The sequence below is a fragment of the Homo sapiens genome, chromosome 13 (assembly GCF_000001405.40).
Source record: "Homo sapiens chromosome 13, GRCh38.p14 Primary Assembly".
Classification (NCBI taxonomy): Eukaryota; Metazoa; Chordata; class Mammalia; order Primates; family Hominidae; genus Homo; species Homo sapiens.
Window position 1 is genome coordinate 80,221,048 of NC_000013.11, and position 15,996 is coordinate 80,237,043.

Below are 15,996 nucleotides of genomic sequence, written 5' to 3' on the forward strand. Positions count from 1 at the left end.
TTATTTGTATTTACGTATATAACCACCAGAAAAACTAAACATATCAATAGTTGAAAGTGTAGGCCTGGGAAACATAGCAAAACCCCATCTCTACGAAAAATAGAAAAATTAGCTGACCGTGGTGGTGCAAGCCTGTGCTCCCAGCTATTCAGGAGGCTGAGGTGGGAGGATCAACTGAGCCCAGGGAGGTCAAGGCTGCAGTCAGCTGTGGACTGTGGTCACACCACTGCACTCCAGCCTGAGCAGGAGAGTAAGACCCTGTCTCCAAAAAAAAAAAAAAAAAAAAAGGTGTAATTCTAAGAAGTAAATATGGGAATGAGAAAAAAGCATGAGTCAGGAAATTATTAATTTTTATTGCATGTCATTTTGTACTCTGATTTTTTAAAAATAATTTTCAAGTGTTAACTTGTATTTCTTTATTAAAATTGAAAAAAAATAGTATCTAAGGCACATAGTCATTAAATGTTGGTAACCCATTCTATATCAAGGTTCCATGTACTAACTCTTGCTCCACCACATTTTCTGTATAAGAGCTTGAATGAATTATTTAACTTTCCTCTGCCTCCACTGTGTCTTCTGTAAATCTGGAGAAAAGTAGTGAGCCTCGAACTTAGGTGTGCTTAGAACCTACCCACCATTCAATGTACAATAGGAATTATTAATGTTATCTTAGATAATATTAATGTACTAACTGGCTCTGTCCTTTATGATTTTATAGAAATTTTACATTAGTTCATTTCTTCACAACTGAATTTAGAAAAATCCTTACCAGATATGCAATGAGGTCTAAACTAAGATGTTCAAATATTAAATATAAACTACTTATAATTTCAAACAATTTGAAACCATTTAATTTAAAATGTGAGTGTACTCTGATTATTCAAAATTTTATATTTATACTAATATAGAGATTCCATATTTGTTTTATAGTAGTCCATTATTAAAAACTTTTGAAATCAAAACCACTGTATTTGCTTTGTAATTTTCCTAAAGATTGTCCCACAGATGTGACTTTTTTTTTTTTTTTTTTTTTTTGAGATAGAGTCTCACTCTGTCACACCCAGGCTGGAAGGCAGTGGCACGATCTTGGCTCACTGCAACCTCCGTCTCCTGGGTTCAAGCAATTCTCCTGCCTCAGCCTCCTGAATAGCTGGGCTTACAGGCACATGCCACCACACCAGGCTAATTTTTGTATTTTTAGTAGAGACAGGGTTTCACCATGTTGACCAGGCTGGTCTCGAACTCCTGAGCTCAGGTAATCTGCCTGCCTTGGCCTCTCAAAGTGCTGAGATTATAGGCGTGAGCCACCCCTCCTGGCCAGGATGTGACTATTTCTTACATAAAGGTTGGCACTCTGTGGTTTTAAAGTTGTGTTCAGGGGTATATGTCAACCTTGGAAGAAGTTTCATCACGGGAAACACTTAACTTGGGTCTGCTATATCACTGCTTCAAGGATGATGGTTGAAATATAATGCAGAAGACATGCATGATCTGAAAAAATGACAAACCACTTGTCTCCTACAAAGTAGTGGTAATTAGGAGAATTAGATGCTGTTACTTCCTGAAGTTTCTATTTGAAATATGACTCCAAAATTCATCGAAGTCATTACCAAAAACACATCATTTTGTCTGAGACAACAGCATACTAGCTACAATGTTTTGGTGCAATATTGCTCGGTCTCAGTGAAATTTGCTTGTAAGAGGATACGGTAAATGTATTAGCTTGGTACTTATCCTACCAAGTACCATACATATGAATGGTAAATGTATTAGCTACTGTAACAGATTACTACAAACTTTGTAGCTGAAAACATTAATTTATTATTTTATAGTTCTGGAGATCAGGAATCTGAAGTGGGTGTCACTGGGCCCAAATTAAGGTGTTGGCAGTGCTGATCTCCCCTGAAGGTTCTAGGAGAGAATTTGTTTCTTCACCTTTCCAGCTTCCACAGGCCACCCTCATTCCTTGGCTAGCAGCCCCTCCCTCTACATGCAAATTTCATCACTTCGACTTCCACTTCCATTGATTGCCACACCTCTTATCTGCCTCTCATCTTCCTGCCTCCCTCTTATAAGTTCCCTTGTGATGACATTGGGCCCAACCAGATCATTTAGGATTATCTCCCCATTTCAAGATCTTGAATTTGATCACATCTACAAAGGGCATCTTCCTGTGTAAGGTAATGATGAGTGCAGGAAATGCTACCCCAAAATATGGCACTTTGGCATACTGAGTATTTTAAGCGGAAAGAAATTGAGAAAACTGCAGAAGCAGAAAGGTCATTCTCTGACCTTCTCTGCCTTTCTTCCCTGAGGCCATAGAAAGAATTTGTTTTACCTACCTCTCCTGATAGTAGGTTATAAGATCCTCATTCCAGAGGGGTCCTGCCCTATACCTGGAGGCCAAGGAGAATCTGAGCAAAGAAGCCTTGCTAAATTTCCCTCAGTTTATTACCATTAGGTCAACCCCCCGTTTTGTCCAGTCATACTTCTACAAGACTTCTCTTTCTTTTTTTTTTTTTTTTTTTTGAGATGGAGTCTCACTATTGTCACCTAGGCTGGAGTGCAGTGGTGCAATCTCAGCTCACTGCAACTTCCACCTCCCAGGTTCAAATGATTCTCCTGCCTCAGCCTCCCAAGTAGCTGGGATTGCAGGTGCCCTCCACCACCCCCGGCTAATTTTTGTATTTTGCGTAGAGATGGGGTTTCACCATGTTGGCCAGCCTGCTCTTAAACTCCTGACCTCAAGTGATCCACCCACCTCAGCCTCCCAAAGTACCTGACTTTTCAATCTTCATCAAACCTAAGCATACAAATATACAGTTTTCCCTGAGTTTGGGGGTCTTTTCTGAAGGCTCCCGTTCCCATAATTTTTTTTTTTTTTTTGTCATCCAGGCCGGAGTGCAATGGCACAATCTCTGCTCACTGCAACCTCCGCCTCCCAGGTTCAAGTGATTCTCCTGCCTCAGCCTCTTGAGTAGGTGGGATTATAGGGGTGTACCACCATGCCTGGCTAATTTTTGTATTTTTAGTAGAGATGGGGTTTGACCATGTTGGCGAGGCTAGTCTCGAACTCCTGACCTCAGGTGATCCGCCCGCCTCAGCCTCCCAAAGTGCTGGGATTACAGGCACCCAGCCCCATAAAACTTTTGTTAAGTAAATTTCTTGTACTTTTCTCTTGTTAATTTGTCTTTCATTTTAGGGATGTCGGCCATGAACCTTGTGATGAGTGAGAAGAATTTTTAAATTTTTCTCTCCTACAAAAACGTATTCAAAACTTTTAGAGATTAAGATGTGGCTATATTTTGGGAAACCATTATTCTTTCTACCACATTGAAGTATGAAATTAATCTCAATAATATAGTAATCTAAGCACAAAAAAAGTCTTGAAAGAAACCAATAAACTTAATCAAAATGAATAAACCAATGATGTGCATTGAACCAGGCTTATTCTATTACCAACACTAAGAAAAGAAAACTCTATTTGACATATAGCTATTATATTTGATTGGCATAGTGACTCAGGAGTTCATATTGTTAAAACTACTTTTACCTTCATGAATGCAATGCATTAATGAATATGTGGGAGGTAGGAGGAGGATGAGGAAGTTGGAGGAGGAGGGAATAAAGCATGAGGCATTTATCATTTCATGAGTCATCTTGACATAAAAGGATAAATGCCTCATGCTTTATTATCCAATGGAAACTTTATTATCAAATGGAAACTTTGTTAATAAATAATAAACAAACATTTTTATTTTGTTGATAATAAAAAATGCTTTGTTATCAAATGGAAACTTTGTTATCCAATGAAGTCCATAAAATGGAAACTCTGTTATCCAATGAAATAACTGAATTTTATACACACAAACCAAAATAAAGGTGAAGCAAAAAAATTTTTTTTTGTTTTTTTGTTTTTTTTTTTTTGTTTTTAGAGACAGAGTCTCACTCTGTGGCCCGGGCTGGAGAGCAGTGAGCAATCTCAGCTCAGCTCCTGAATAGCTGGGACTACAGGCACACGCTGCCACACCCGGCTAATTTTTTGTATTTTAGTAGAGACGGGGTTTCACCTTGTTGCCCAGGCTGGTCTCAAACTCCTGAGCTCAGGCAATCCGCCCGCCTCGGCCTCCCAAAGTGCTAGGATTACAGGCATGAGCCACCATGCCCGGCAAGAAAGGAAATTTTTAAATAACAGATAGCGGAAAGAGAAGTTTTGGATCCAAGCCCAATCTCTTACCACATGAACTTGATCAAGTCACCTAACCTCTCTAAGCTTTAGATGTGTTTCTGTGAAATGGAGCAATAATAGCTGCCTTGTAGGTAGACTGTTAGAGTTTGGAATACTCCCATCAGTCTCGTAATGAACAATGAGTTATCTACAGTCTCCCCAAATCACAAACAACGCATTCACCTTCAATGTGTTATATACAGTTTAAATCTCATAAATTATGTCTCCAGATAACTACATCAGATACTCTTCTAGTTCAGGAGACAGTAAACTGAAGCGCCATCTTTATTATTTTGTATGGTGTTGTTGATTCTCAACAGACATGTCTCAGGTTAATTCTACCCAACCACCTAAGATTAATGTGACAGCGTGTTGACTGATTTGACACATATGTAACTTTATTATATTTCTGTTTGCACTGGTTGTGTCCAAATTTAGGACGAAGTGATTTTAAATATCTGAATGGCATCATCTTTTCTTCTGTGAAGTACTTTTTATCATCATTTCCAGGACTCCTCTCCAGTCCTCTAATGTATCCTAATAGTTACTTCACTATGATACAATACCTACTACATGTAATGTAATCCAAAGTACATATTGTCTACCTTTTTTTCTCTTTAAATTTTTGAGACAAGTATTTACTTTCTATATCCCACATATCATTGGTTTTGGCCCCAGAATCTCAACCAGATATTCAAGAAAAATAAATCCACATGAAATCATAGAATCTCAGTATTGGAAGTGCCCCTGGCAATCACTTAGTTTCACCTTTTAGCAATGTTTAAACTCGCCATGTGTTAATGGCACAGAGTATCCTTTTTTTTTTTTTTTTTTTTTTTTTTGAGACGGAGTCTGGCTCTGTCGCCAGGCTGGAGTGCAGTGGCGCCATCTCGGTTCACTGCAATCTCCACCTCCCAGGTTCAAGTGACTCTCCTGCCTCAGCCTCCCAAGTAGCTGGGACTACAGGCTTGCACCACCACGCCCAGCTAATTTTTTTGTATTTTTAGTAGAGACGGGGTTTCACCATGTTTTCCAGAGTGGGTCTCTATCTCTTGACCTCGTGATCTGCCCGCCTCAGCCTCCCAAAGTACTGGGATTACAGGCGTGAGCCACCGCACCCGGCCTGAGTATCCATTTTTTAATAAAATGCATGATGATTAATGCTTGTTGGAGACAAGAGCTTCCAACTTTGTCATCTAACACACAGAAAATGTGGCATTTTTGAACTTGTCAAATCATGCTCAACAGATGACATAGCATCTACGTGCATATTTCAAAACTCTAAACTGGGGATTGGCAAATTGTGGCCCCAGGATCAAATTCAGCCTGCCACCTGCCTTTATATGGCCTGTGAAACAAGAATGGGTTTTACATTTTTAAATAATTTTTTAAAAGTCAAAAGAAGAATGATATTTTGTGTCACATAAAAATTATGCAAAAGTCAAATTTTAGTGTCCATAAATGAAATTTCTCGAAACACAACCACACTCATTAATTTCCATATTGTCTATGGCTGCCTTCCCATTACAATGGCAGAGCTGAGTAGCTGTGACAGAATCTGTAGGTGGTGCCCCATTCACTTCACATTGCTGTTAAGTACAGTACTAATAACAATGTCATAGTCATAACTCAACTGATTTTCAAGTGTCATATATGTTACTGTCCTGTGACATTTTATTTTAAAGTCCAGTTAAATATGACCAGTGCAAATCATGTCAAAACAAGAAAACAAAGCAAAAGTAGACTTTGAGTGTTACACGTTTAAGGAACAGTTGAGTGAAATTAGATGGCAAAGCATCATGTTTATTATGCAAAGACTTTTAGCTGTGCTAAAATAATACAACATACTTCAACATTACTGGAGCTAGCACTCGTCACAGTATCTCCAGCTTGTGGGAGAGCAGCAATGAGGAAAATCAGAAAAGTTAAGACAAAATATATAGCAGAATTTCTTCACAAAAATAAACAAACTGAAAACCAAAAAGGTTTTATTTGTTAGCCATGCAAGGAAACCTGTTTACTAGTGGTGATGTAATTAAATTGTGTTTGACACAATTGCAAAGAAATGTGTCCAGAGAAAATAAATTTACTTAAGACTATTAGCCTCTGGGTGAGAACACTTGCTCAAAAAGTTGAGGACATTAAGAGCAGCATCAATGGTCAATTAAAATAAAAGGCAAATGATTTTGAATAGTTTTCCTTGGCTCTTCATGAACTGATGGATGTCAGAGATACCACTTGGTTGTTATTTATTCAAGGACACAATGCTGAGTTTAAAGTGATGGAAGAATTAGCCTCTATGAATAGTCTGCATGTAGTAACTACAGACAAGAATATTTTCAAAGAGCATGAGAGAACACTAATTCAATAAAATCTGGAAGGAAATTTGCTAAGATATGTTAAAACTGATAGTGTTAAAAATACATATGGGGAAGAAAAACATTTAGTTGAACAAATTTAGAAAGTTTGTGAAAATACAGTGTTTACAGCTGGTGATTATTTATTATATTATTCACCAACAGGTGCTTTGCAGAAAATAAATTAATCTACCATGTGCTTTTGAACTAGTAGTATAAATTTCACGTGCTCTTTTGAGCTAACCATGATCAGTTCCATGATTTTATTTGGTCAAAAATAGAAGCTAAATATTCCGACTTGCCCTACCACCCAGGAATTTGATGGTTTAGCAGTAAGAAAGTTTAACTGTGATTTTTTTTTAAGCCCAGGACCAAGATTGATTTTTTTCTGCAAGAAGGATTCTCAATCACTATTATGAAAAACCGAATGGCTTTGGAAGTTAGCCTTTGCTGCAGACTTGAAAATGTTTCTTCATAAACTCACCCTAACATTGCAAGGTCAAATAGCACTACATGAGAAATTTATACTTCAGTGAAGACATTTTGACAAAAACTAACATTGTTTAAATCACCAGTAATGTTAAGCTGCTTTATACATGTCCCATTCTGTCAAAGGTTAAAATAAAGAGCAAGATCTTCATTCCTACAAAAATACATAGTGCATGTATCTTTTGACCCCCTACTACAGTTCAAGTAACATTTTCCAAACATGGTACAAGTATGAAGGAAATTTCTATGTTTCAAAAAATCCATTTAAATATATAATTCAGGAGCTTCTGCCTAGTACTCAACTTGAAGTTAATAATCTGAGATGTAATCACATCCTAAAATGCAAATATCAGGAAAAAACATAATAGAATTCTTATATAAATTATTTCCAAGTGATAAATAAGCTCAGTTAAAGTCAGATGCTAAAAATAAACACGTGTCTGTCTAAAAGCACATTTTCCAAGATGAAATAGATAAAATATCATACACATTTTACAAATCAACATTAACAGATAAACATGTGCAATCAATTTTGATCATAGGAAACACTAATTTTGAACCCCAATTAAATAAAATATTATCCCCACAAAAGAATTGTATTCTCATTAGTAGACGTATGTTACACAAAAGTTATACTCAATTATTACTATATTTTAAATTTGATCAATAAAAATTTCATTAAAAATTTACTTTTTTATTATTCAAGAGCAATTGTTCCCTCAGTATCCATAGGGGATTGTTCCAGGACACTCATGGGTACCAAAGTCACTGGATACTCAAGTTCTTGATATAAAGGGATACAACATTTACATATAATCTACCCACATCTTCCCATACGCTTTAAATCCTCTCTAGATTACTTCAAATACCTAATACAATGTAAATGCTATGTATTGTAGTCTGTTTTGTGTAGCTATAAAGGAATACCTGAGCCTGGGTAATTTATAAAGAAAGAAAGGTTTACTTGGCTCACAATTCTGATGTCTGGAAAAGTTCAAGATTGGACATTTGCATCTGGTTAGGGCCTCAGGCTGTTTCTACTCATGGTAGAAGGTGAAAGGGAGACGGTGTCTGCAAAGATCACGTGGCGAGAGGCACAGTGGAGGTACGAGGCTCTTTTTAACAATCAGGTCAATGGATTGGTAACCAATGGATAAGAATGGTCTTGTAATTATACAGAGCTTTGCAATGAGTTGAGAGAGAACTTTTGATTGTTATGATGATGATACTTCTTATAATTTTGTTATAGTGTTATGAATAAATTACTCTCTTAAATACTCTTGGAAATAAACTCAATATAAATAAATAATAAAAGTAATTACAAACAATTTCTAAAAAATTAATTCTGCCAACTTTTCCATTAAGAGTTCATAGATACAAAGAACATATGGATGCTAGAACATGCTTGTTTGTTTGCTTATTTGTTTCATGCAATAATAAATTGTTTTCATCAAGCCTAATTTTAACACTGCATTTTAAATAAGCTTATTTTCTGATATATGTTTATATTTCTAATGGAAAATTGTATTCTAAAAAATCGAAGTAAAATTAAATCATATTGTTAAGAATAATGTCATTTCCTGCATTATATTTACATAATAGATTAAGCACAATTAGGCCATTTGAAGTACTTGCAAATTATCTCTTTCTCTTGTCTATTTTATACCTATCCATCTCTCTATTTTGTAACTGCCTCTCTCTCCATCCCTGCTTCCACTGTTTTTTTCTTTAAAATCTTATTATTTTTCCTTGGAAATGGTCTCTGAATCACTCTGATTGTATTCAATAAATTTTTATTAAATGTTCAATGACTAAATCAGAACTGGGTCACTGTTGGAAGCACAATTATCAGGCTGGCTTCCCTCACTCCATTAACTGAACTCCCATCCATCCAAATACACAAAACGACCTTTCTAAAATCCTAAACAAATCTTGTCACTCCCTGGTATAATAATCTATTTTCAATGCCTTCCATTTAAAACCCTGGGTGCTTAACATGACACATAAGACCCTTTGTAATAATACCCAAGCCTACTTCAGCCTCATTTCCTGCAACTCCTGCATGTTTCCCCTGTAGCCATTCTCAGTGTCCCCAAAGCATCAGGATTCTTTTTTTGTTTTTTCATTTGGTGTCTTTGCTCATATGGTTCACTCTCGTTTTATTCAGACCCTCTATTTTTCTCTTTCACTTTTTGAATAACTCTTCCTTATTTTTAAAGGCCTTGTCATCTGGATAAATTTCTCTCTGTCTATGCTCTCTGCCCCCAATTTAAGTGATTTCTCATGGCTCATATTATACTGATGCATAAGCATGTATTAACTCATCTGGCGCCTTTACCAGTTCATAGGCTACTAGAAGGCATCCAGTCACTCCTTCGTCCATCCATTTATAAGTATTATGTTCCTACAGTTATTATAGTGCCTGGAATATAATTAGTTCTCAAGTAAATATTTTCTCAGTAAAAGCCAGGCCATTGTAGTGAGTGAGGCATTGGGTTCAGTGGGCCAAAAAAATAACTAATATTTACCCCAAACCTTCTCTGCTTAAAAAAGTCTTTTCACAGTTTATCTTCACGGCAATGCCATTAGACAGGTCTCATTGCTCCCATTTTACCAAATGAAGTACTGAAGTTAAATGGTGGACTCAAGGTTACTTAGCAAGGGAGTATTAGAACCAGGTCCAAAGACAGGTCTGTCAATCATACCTTTCTGCTCCCACAAATCCTCCCACTTGAGCTTTGACAAACCTGTTACTTTTTGCCTTGGTTCCCAACTTCCTAAATCTGGTTAATTTCATGAACTCACCTGGACCATGATGTTCATGAGTTTATCCGCTGCTACTCATTACCATTTTCCAGAGAAAATGTTTTATCCCCAAGGAAGTATTCTAGGGTAACTATTTTGAGGCAAATTGGGGAGATATTTGGGAGTCATCATACTCTTTCAAGGCTCTAGGAATTAGGAAAGAAGCTGTCTGGTTCAGTTAGTGGGAGTCAGGTGTGTGATCTTACATAAAAATTAACTCTAAGATTATACATTGGCAGGGCGTGGTGGCTCATGTCTCTAATCCCAGTACTTTGGGAGGTGGAGGCAGAAGAATTACTTGAGCCCAGGAGTTTGAGACCAGCCTGAACAACATAGTGAGATCTTATCTCTACAAAAAATAATAAAGTAGCTGGAATAGTGGCACATGCATGTACTCCCAGCTACTGGGGAGGCTGAGGTGGGAGACTCACTTGTGCCTAGGAGTTGGAGGCTGCTGTGAGCCATGACTGCACCACTGTACTCCAGCCTGGACAACAGAGTGAGATTCTGTCTCAAAGAAAAGAAAAGAAAGATTATATATTGACATCCTTACTAATAAATTGATGACAACCCTGAGGAATAGTATGCAGTCTATATAGCAGGCCCAGAATAAAGACAAGGACCACATCCTCAGACCTTTTTGCTAACGCTTCCCCCAGAAATAAATAGAAATATTTTACAGGAAAAAAAATTATGGTAACTGCCATTTGTAATATTAATGTCTATCTCATCCCTTATTTATTGAGCACTATGTGCTAGGTAATGTGGTAGGCATTTATTTTTTACATAAACCTCTACAGGAGGTACTATTTTCCAAATTACTTTGAACCCTGGAGTTGGCAAGTTTCAATTTTAAAATGTGTAAAATTTGTATAATAATACCTCTACCAGGCCAGGCACTGTGGTTCACGCCTGTAATCCCAGCACTTTGGGAGGCTGAGGTAGGCGGATCACGAGGTCAGGAGATCAAGACCATCCTGGCTAACACGGTGAAACCCGTCTCTACTAAAAATACAAAAATTTAGCTGGGTGGCAGGTGCCTGTAGTCCCAGCTATTCGGTAGGCTGAGGAAGGAGAATGGCGTGAACCCGGAAGGCGGAGGTTGCGGTGAGTGGAGGTAGCACCACTGCACTCTAGCCTGGGCAACAGAGCGAGGCTCTGTCTCAAAAAAGAAATAATAATAATATCTCTACTAGAGGATTGCGTGGAAAAGAAAGTGCCAAGCTTCAGAGTCGATGCCTGAGTTGTTTCCACTATTCCATGTTATAGGGTCTTAGCCTTCTTAGAAAATGAAGCACCATTGATTAGAAACTTTGCACCATGGGAAGAGAAATGGAAGGGAAATATGTATATGTGTGTGCATGCATGTGTATATGTTTATGTGATGTGTGTGTGTGTGTGTGTGTGTATGTAGGGGTGAAAGACTACATCACAGTCAGGAGCTCTGGAAGTAATGGAATGTCTGATGATGGCCATGAGATGGGGCAGATTTACCTCTGTTTATCCTGCCTTCCTCTAGACCACCATCGTGAATGTGGAAGAGACATTCACATACCCTCAGGGGGCTCCTTGCTGTGGTGGGATGCAGCCAATGCTCTCAGTACCTCTTTCTACTTTTTATTAGAGAGAAATAAGAAGTTAGGTCATTGAAGGCGGGGCACAGTGGCTCAAGCCTGTAATCCCAGCACTTTGGGAGGCCAAAGTGGGTGGATCACGAGGTCGAGAGATCAAGACCATCCTGGCCAACAGGGTGAAACCCTGTCTCTAATAAAAATACAAAAATTAGCTGGGCATGGTGGCGGGCACCTGTAGTCCTAGCTACTCGGGTGGCTGAGGCAGGAGAATCACTTGAACCAGGGAGGCGGAGGTTGCAGTGAGCTGAGATTGCGCCACTGCACTCCAGCCTGGCAACAGACTGAGACTCCGTCTCAAAAAAAAAAAAAAAAAGAAAAGAAAAAGAAGTTAGGTCATTGTAGACCAGTTGCTACAGACTACCTCAGAGAGATACAGTGCCCTCAGAAAGCACATTCTTTTGGGTTTCTAATACAATAGAATCAATGTATTATTTTTTTTTTGTTTTTAGTTTTTAGATACAAGATTTTGCTACATTGCCCAGGCTGGACTCAAAGTCCTGGGCTCAAGGGATCCTCCAGCCTTCCCCATACCTGGGACTACAGGTGCACACCACCAAGTAGTGGCACACCGTTTGGTGCCCGACCAAGAACCAATATATTATTGAAGAAATAAAGGATTCGTTGACATGCATCACAGACACACATCAAAAATTTGTACACTTAGATCATTTTTTTAAAATCTTTTTGTCGTACTCCTCTGCCTTTAACTATAATTTTTAAAAATACTAAATAAATGATATGCTTGGGAAGAAAAGCAAATACTACCAAACTATGTAAGGCAAATGATGAAAATGGCTCCATCACCTTCCTTGTTCCTGTCTCCTCACCTACCACATCCTCATGCTCATGAGCTGGCCCATAGCTCTCCAGCACACCTCTGTGTGTAAATGAGCTTGCATAGATTTTTTTTAAATGATACTATTCTATACATATTATTTGCTGCTTGCTCTTTTCATTCAAAAATGATCACAATTATCTTTCCTCGCATATAGATCCACCCAATCTTTTTCTCTTTCCTTTTTCCTTTTTCTTAATGTAGTGCAATTTATTTAACTCTCCCTACTGATGTTTGTTTTATTTGTCTACAGCAGTGGTCCCCCACCTTTTTGGCAACAGGGACTGATTTTGTGGAAGACAATTTTTCCATGAATGGGGGCAGGAGCAGGGGATAGTTTCGGGATGATTCAAGCACATTACATTTGTTGTGTATTTTATTACTATTATTATTACATTGTAAGATATAATGAAATAATTCTGCAACTCACCATAATGTAGAGTCAGTGGGAGCCCTGAACTTGTCTTCCTGCAAATAGATGGTCCCATCTGGGGGTGATGAGAGACACCGACAGATCATCAGGCATTAGATTATCATAAGGAGTGCATAATCTAGATCCCTCACATGCGCAGTTCACAATAGGATTCAGTCTCCTATGAGAATCTAATGCCACCACTGATCTGACAGGAGACAGAGTTCAGACGCTAATGCAAGAGATGAGGACCAGCTGTAAATACAGATGAAGCTTCGCTCGCTAGCCCACCACTCACCTCCAGCTGTGCAGCCCAGTTACTAACAGGCCACAGATCACCACCAGTACGTGGCCTGGTTTTGGGGACCCCTGGTCTGCAGTATTTTATAATTTAAAAAAATCTGAGCAGAACCTATTTGAGCTCTGGATTTGTCTTTGGATTAACGTTTCTAACAGGATTTATTGCTAAAAACAAAATTTCATGGACAAAGGATACTTGCAGTTGAGATAAGATTTTCAAAGGTTTTATACAAATCTACATAAATGTTAGAAAAGGATCTCTGAGAAAATTTTTAAGTCCACAAGGATTATTTCTGTGAATGTTTACGAATATAATTTTGATAAATATAAGAAATGTGAATAACAAAGATGTGCATGTAACCATTAGAAACAGAAAAAATGGAATATATATAAACAGAAAAATTAGCCCTTGTTATTACCCTAATTTTTTCATTGTCACAATCTACTTTGCTTTTATAAACCAATAGTTTTTATAAACCTTTAAAATTTGATATATAAATCTAAGACTATCTTTAAATATAGTGGCTATATTCTTGAATCTAGTATCACAAATAAAGAATATTAGATTTGAATTTTAGAGACTTAGAATAGTATAAGCTATATTTAAGAAGACATTTAAGACAGTTAACAGTATTTATAATTTTGTCTGGAGGAAACATTATTCTTAAGGTATTTATTACCAAATTTACTTAAAATGCCCCCAACATAAAATATTCTAGAAAAACCTAGTCAGGTTTCTGCAGAAAGTATTTAGTTTATACTGTAGCTACTATGACGGTTTGCACATTACATTTATTTAGGATCACATGCTTACTGAGATGTAAATTACTTTCACAATTTTTTTGGTCTTATTTATTTTTGCCTCTCCCAGCTTCCATCACTGAATGAAATCGAGGCATCAAACATTGGTTTCATGTATTTTTTTTGTAGCAACAACTGTAGAAATTGTGTATGATGAAAAGGTCTTAACTACTGCTTAAAGAGAAAAAGAAATTGTGTGGTTTATTTTTAAAGGGTGCACTCACACACTCACAAAGTAGTGGGGTTGAAAGGAGAGAAAAAAGAGTAAAAGTTCATTGGAACCCAATGATTTATTGGGAAAGGCTCAGCGAGCTCACATAAAAACCAAAGGGGGGAAGTGGTCGGACATTGGGTCAAATCTCCATTCACATGTTGTGTAATAAAAGGCTGACTGTAGCCTTTCAGCCTTGCTTCTAGTCATAGACAATGGCAATTGCAGAGCAAGACTAATAACAGGATTTAGCATAAATCCACCACAGGAAGTGAACAGTTGTACTGGCAAATAATTAGCCAGGAAACATTTTATAGCAGCATCAGGATGCGTCCGTGAGCTTTCAAACTCTCAATGCATTTGTGATCATGAAAACATAATTAGTTCTCAGCGATTGTAATTTTTGTGTGTGTTTGTTGTAAGATGGTTCCTTTCCCCTCCTTTCTTTTCACAAACAGGCCTTATTTTTCCTATCCTAATTTAGCAGCCCCAGTGAGGGTTTTGAAGTCTCAAGGGAGGGGTTTAGAATGTTCTCTTTTTTCTCCTGCTGATGCTTTTTTATTGCAAGGTGGATGGTGTTTATTTTGCACAGCTAACAAGTGAGTTCAAAGCAATACGTTGCTCTTGAACTTTTGCCAGATTCCCAAAGCTGAAAGCTCCCCTGCGTGGTAGAACCGACCTGTACTATCAAAGCCTGACTAATTTGCAAAGGAATGTCAAAATGACTGGTGCACTGCATTTTCCACCACCCGCTTCATTTGACACTTAAAGGAAAGCTAAGTGGGAGTGTAAAAGGAAGGAAATTCATTCAAGGAAGCGTACCTTATAATGTGTGAATTAATTTCAGAAGAGAATGAGAGCTCATTGCCGAGTACTTGCATTTTCATCTTCTGTGCTCTTTGTTGTAGTTACTGTTTTTGTAAGGGTTGCTAATAAACATTATGCTTCTGTTCTCACATCATCCATATTAGGAGGAAATGCTGTCATTAGACTTGGCTTTGAAATCCTTTGTGTCAAAGTGTCTACATGAAGCTGCTTCATCTGATTTAGTCACACCAGTCAAAGAGCGGCCTCATGAAGACAAACACTTGGTCCAGGGCGATATTTTTTTCGCCTTTCAACACTCTAAAAAATCATTTCCTCAGAACCAAGAGAATTACATATATGAACAAATATAAATTGTTTTTAGAGGAGACAAGACTGATAAATAAAGTCCTACACTTCACATTTAAAAGCATAATTCAGGGATGATATTTGAAAATGGAATTCAGCTCACCTAAAAATTACGCTGAAACAAAGGTCACAGAGAATCAGATCAAATAGGAGACTTTGATTTAATTTAGTCTAATTCTAATCTCTGTGTTCCAATTGCATTTTATAACCTCGAATTTTATTTAAAACTTATATTGAAAATATGACATTGACATATTCACCCAAATAAGTTCATCTGCAAATCATTTCTTTAAGCATTGACCCTAAAATTTCATTACTATTTCTGATTGTTTTCCCGGGGAGTTTGCTGTGATTTATATAAATTGCCATTGTCATCAGCCAGGTGAACAGAAACCTTACCTTCAAAATTGTTTTCCTTGCTTGAGTTTTGACCATGAATTTCTTAATGTTCCCTTCTACCTAAAACTGAACTCCATATCTCAGCATGGTTTTGACCACTAAATGTGTACCTTATCTCTGTTACCAAAATCTGAGGTAATCTGGCAATGCGTCAGTTACTTGGAAGTGAGCTACTAAGGTACAGTCATGTAGTAGTTGTCTAAAAAGTGAGTGAACGTCAAACTGAAGGCCATGCTGCTAAAGGATGAAGGCCAGAGTCACATGGATCCAGGTTTGCATTACAGCTTTAGCACTTACCAGTTCTATGGCCACTGCTAATTAATTACCTTTCAAAGGCTTAGCTTCCTCATGT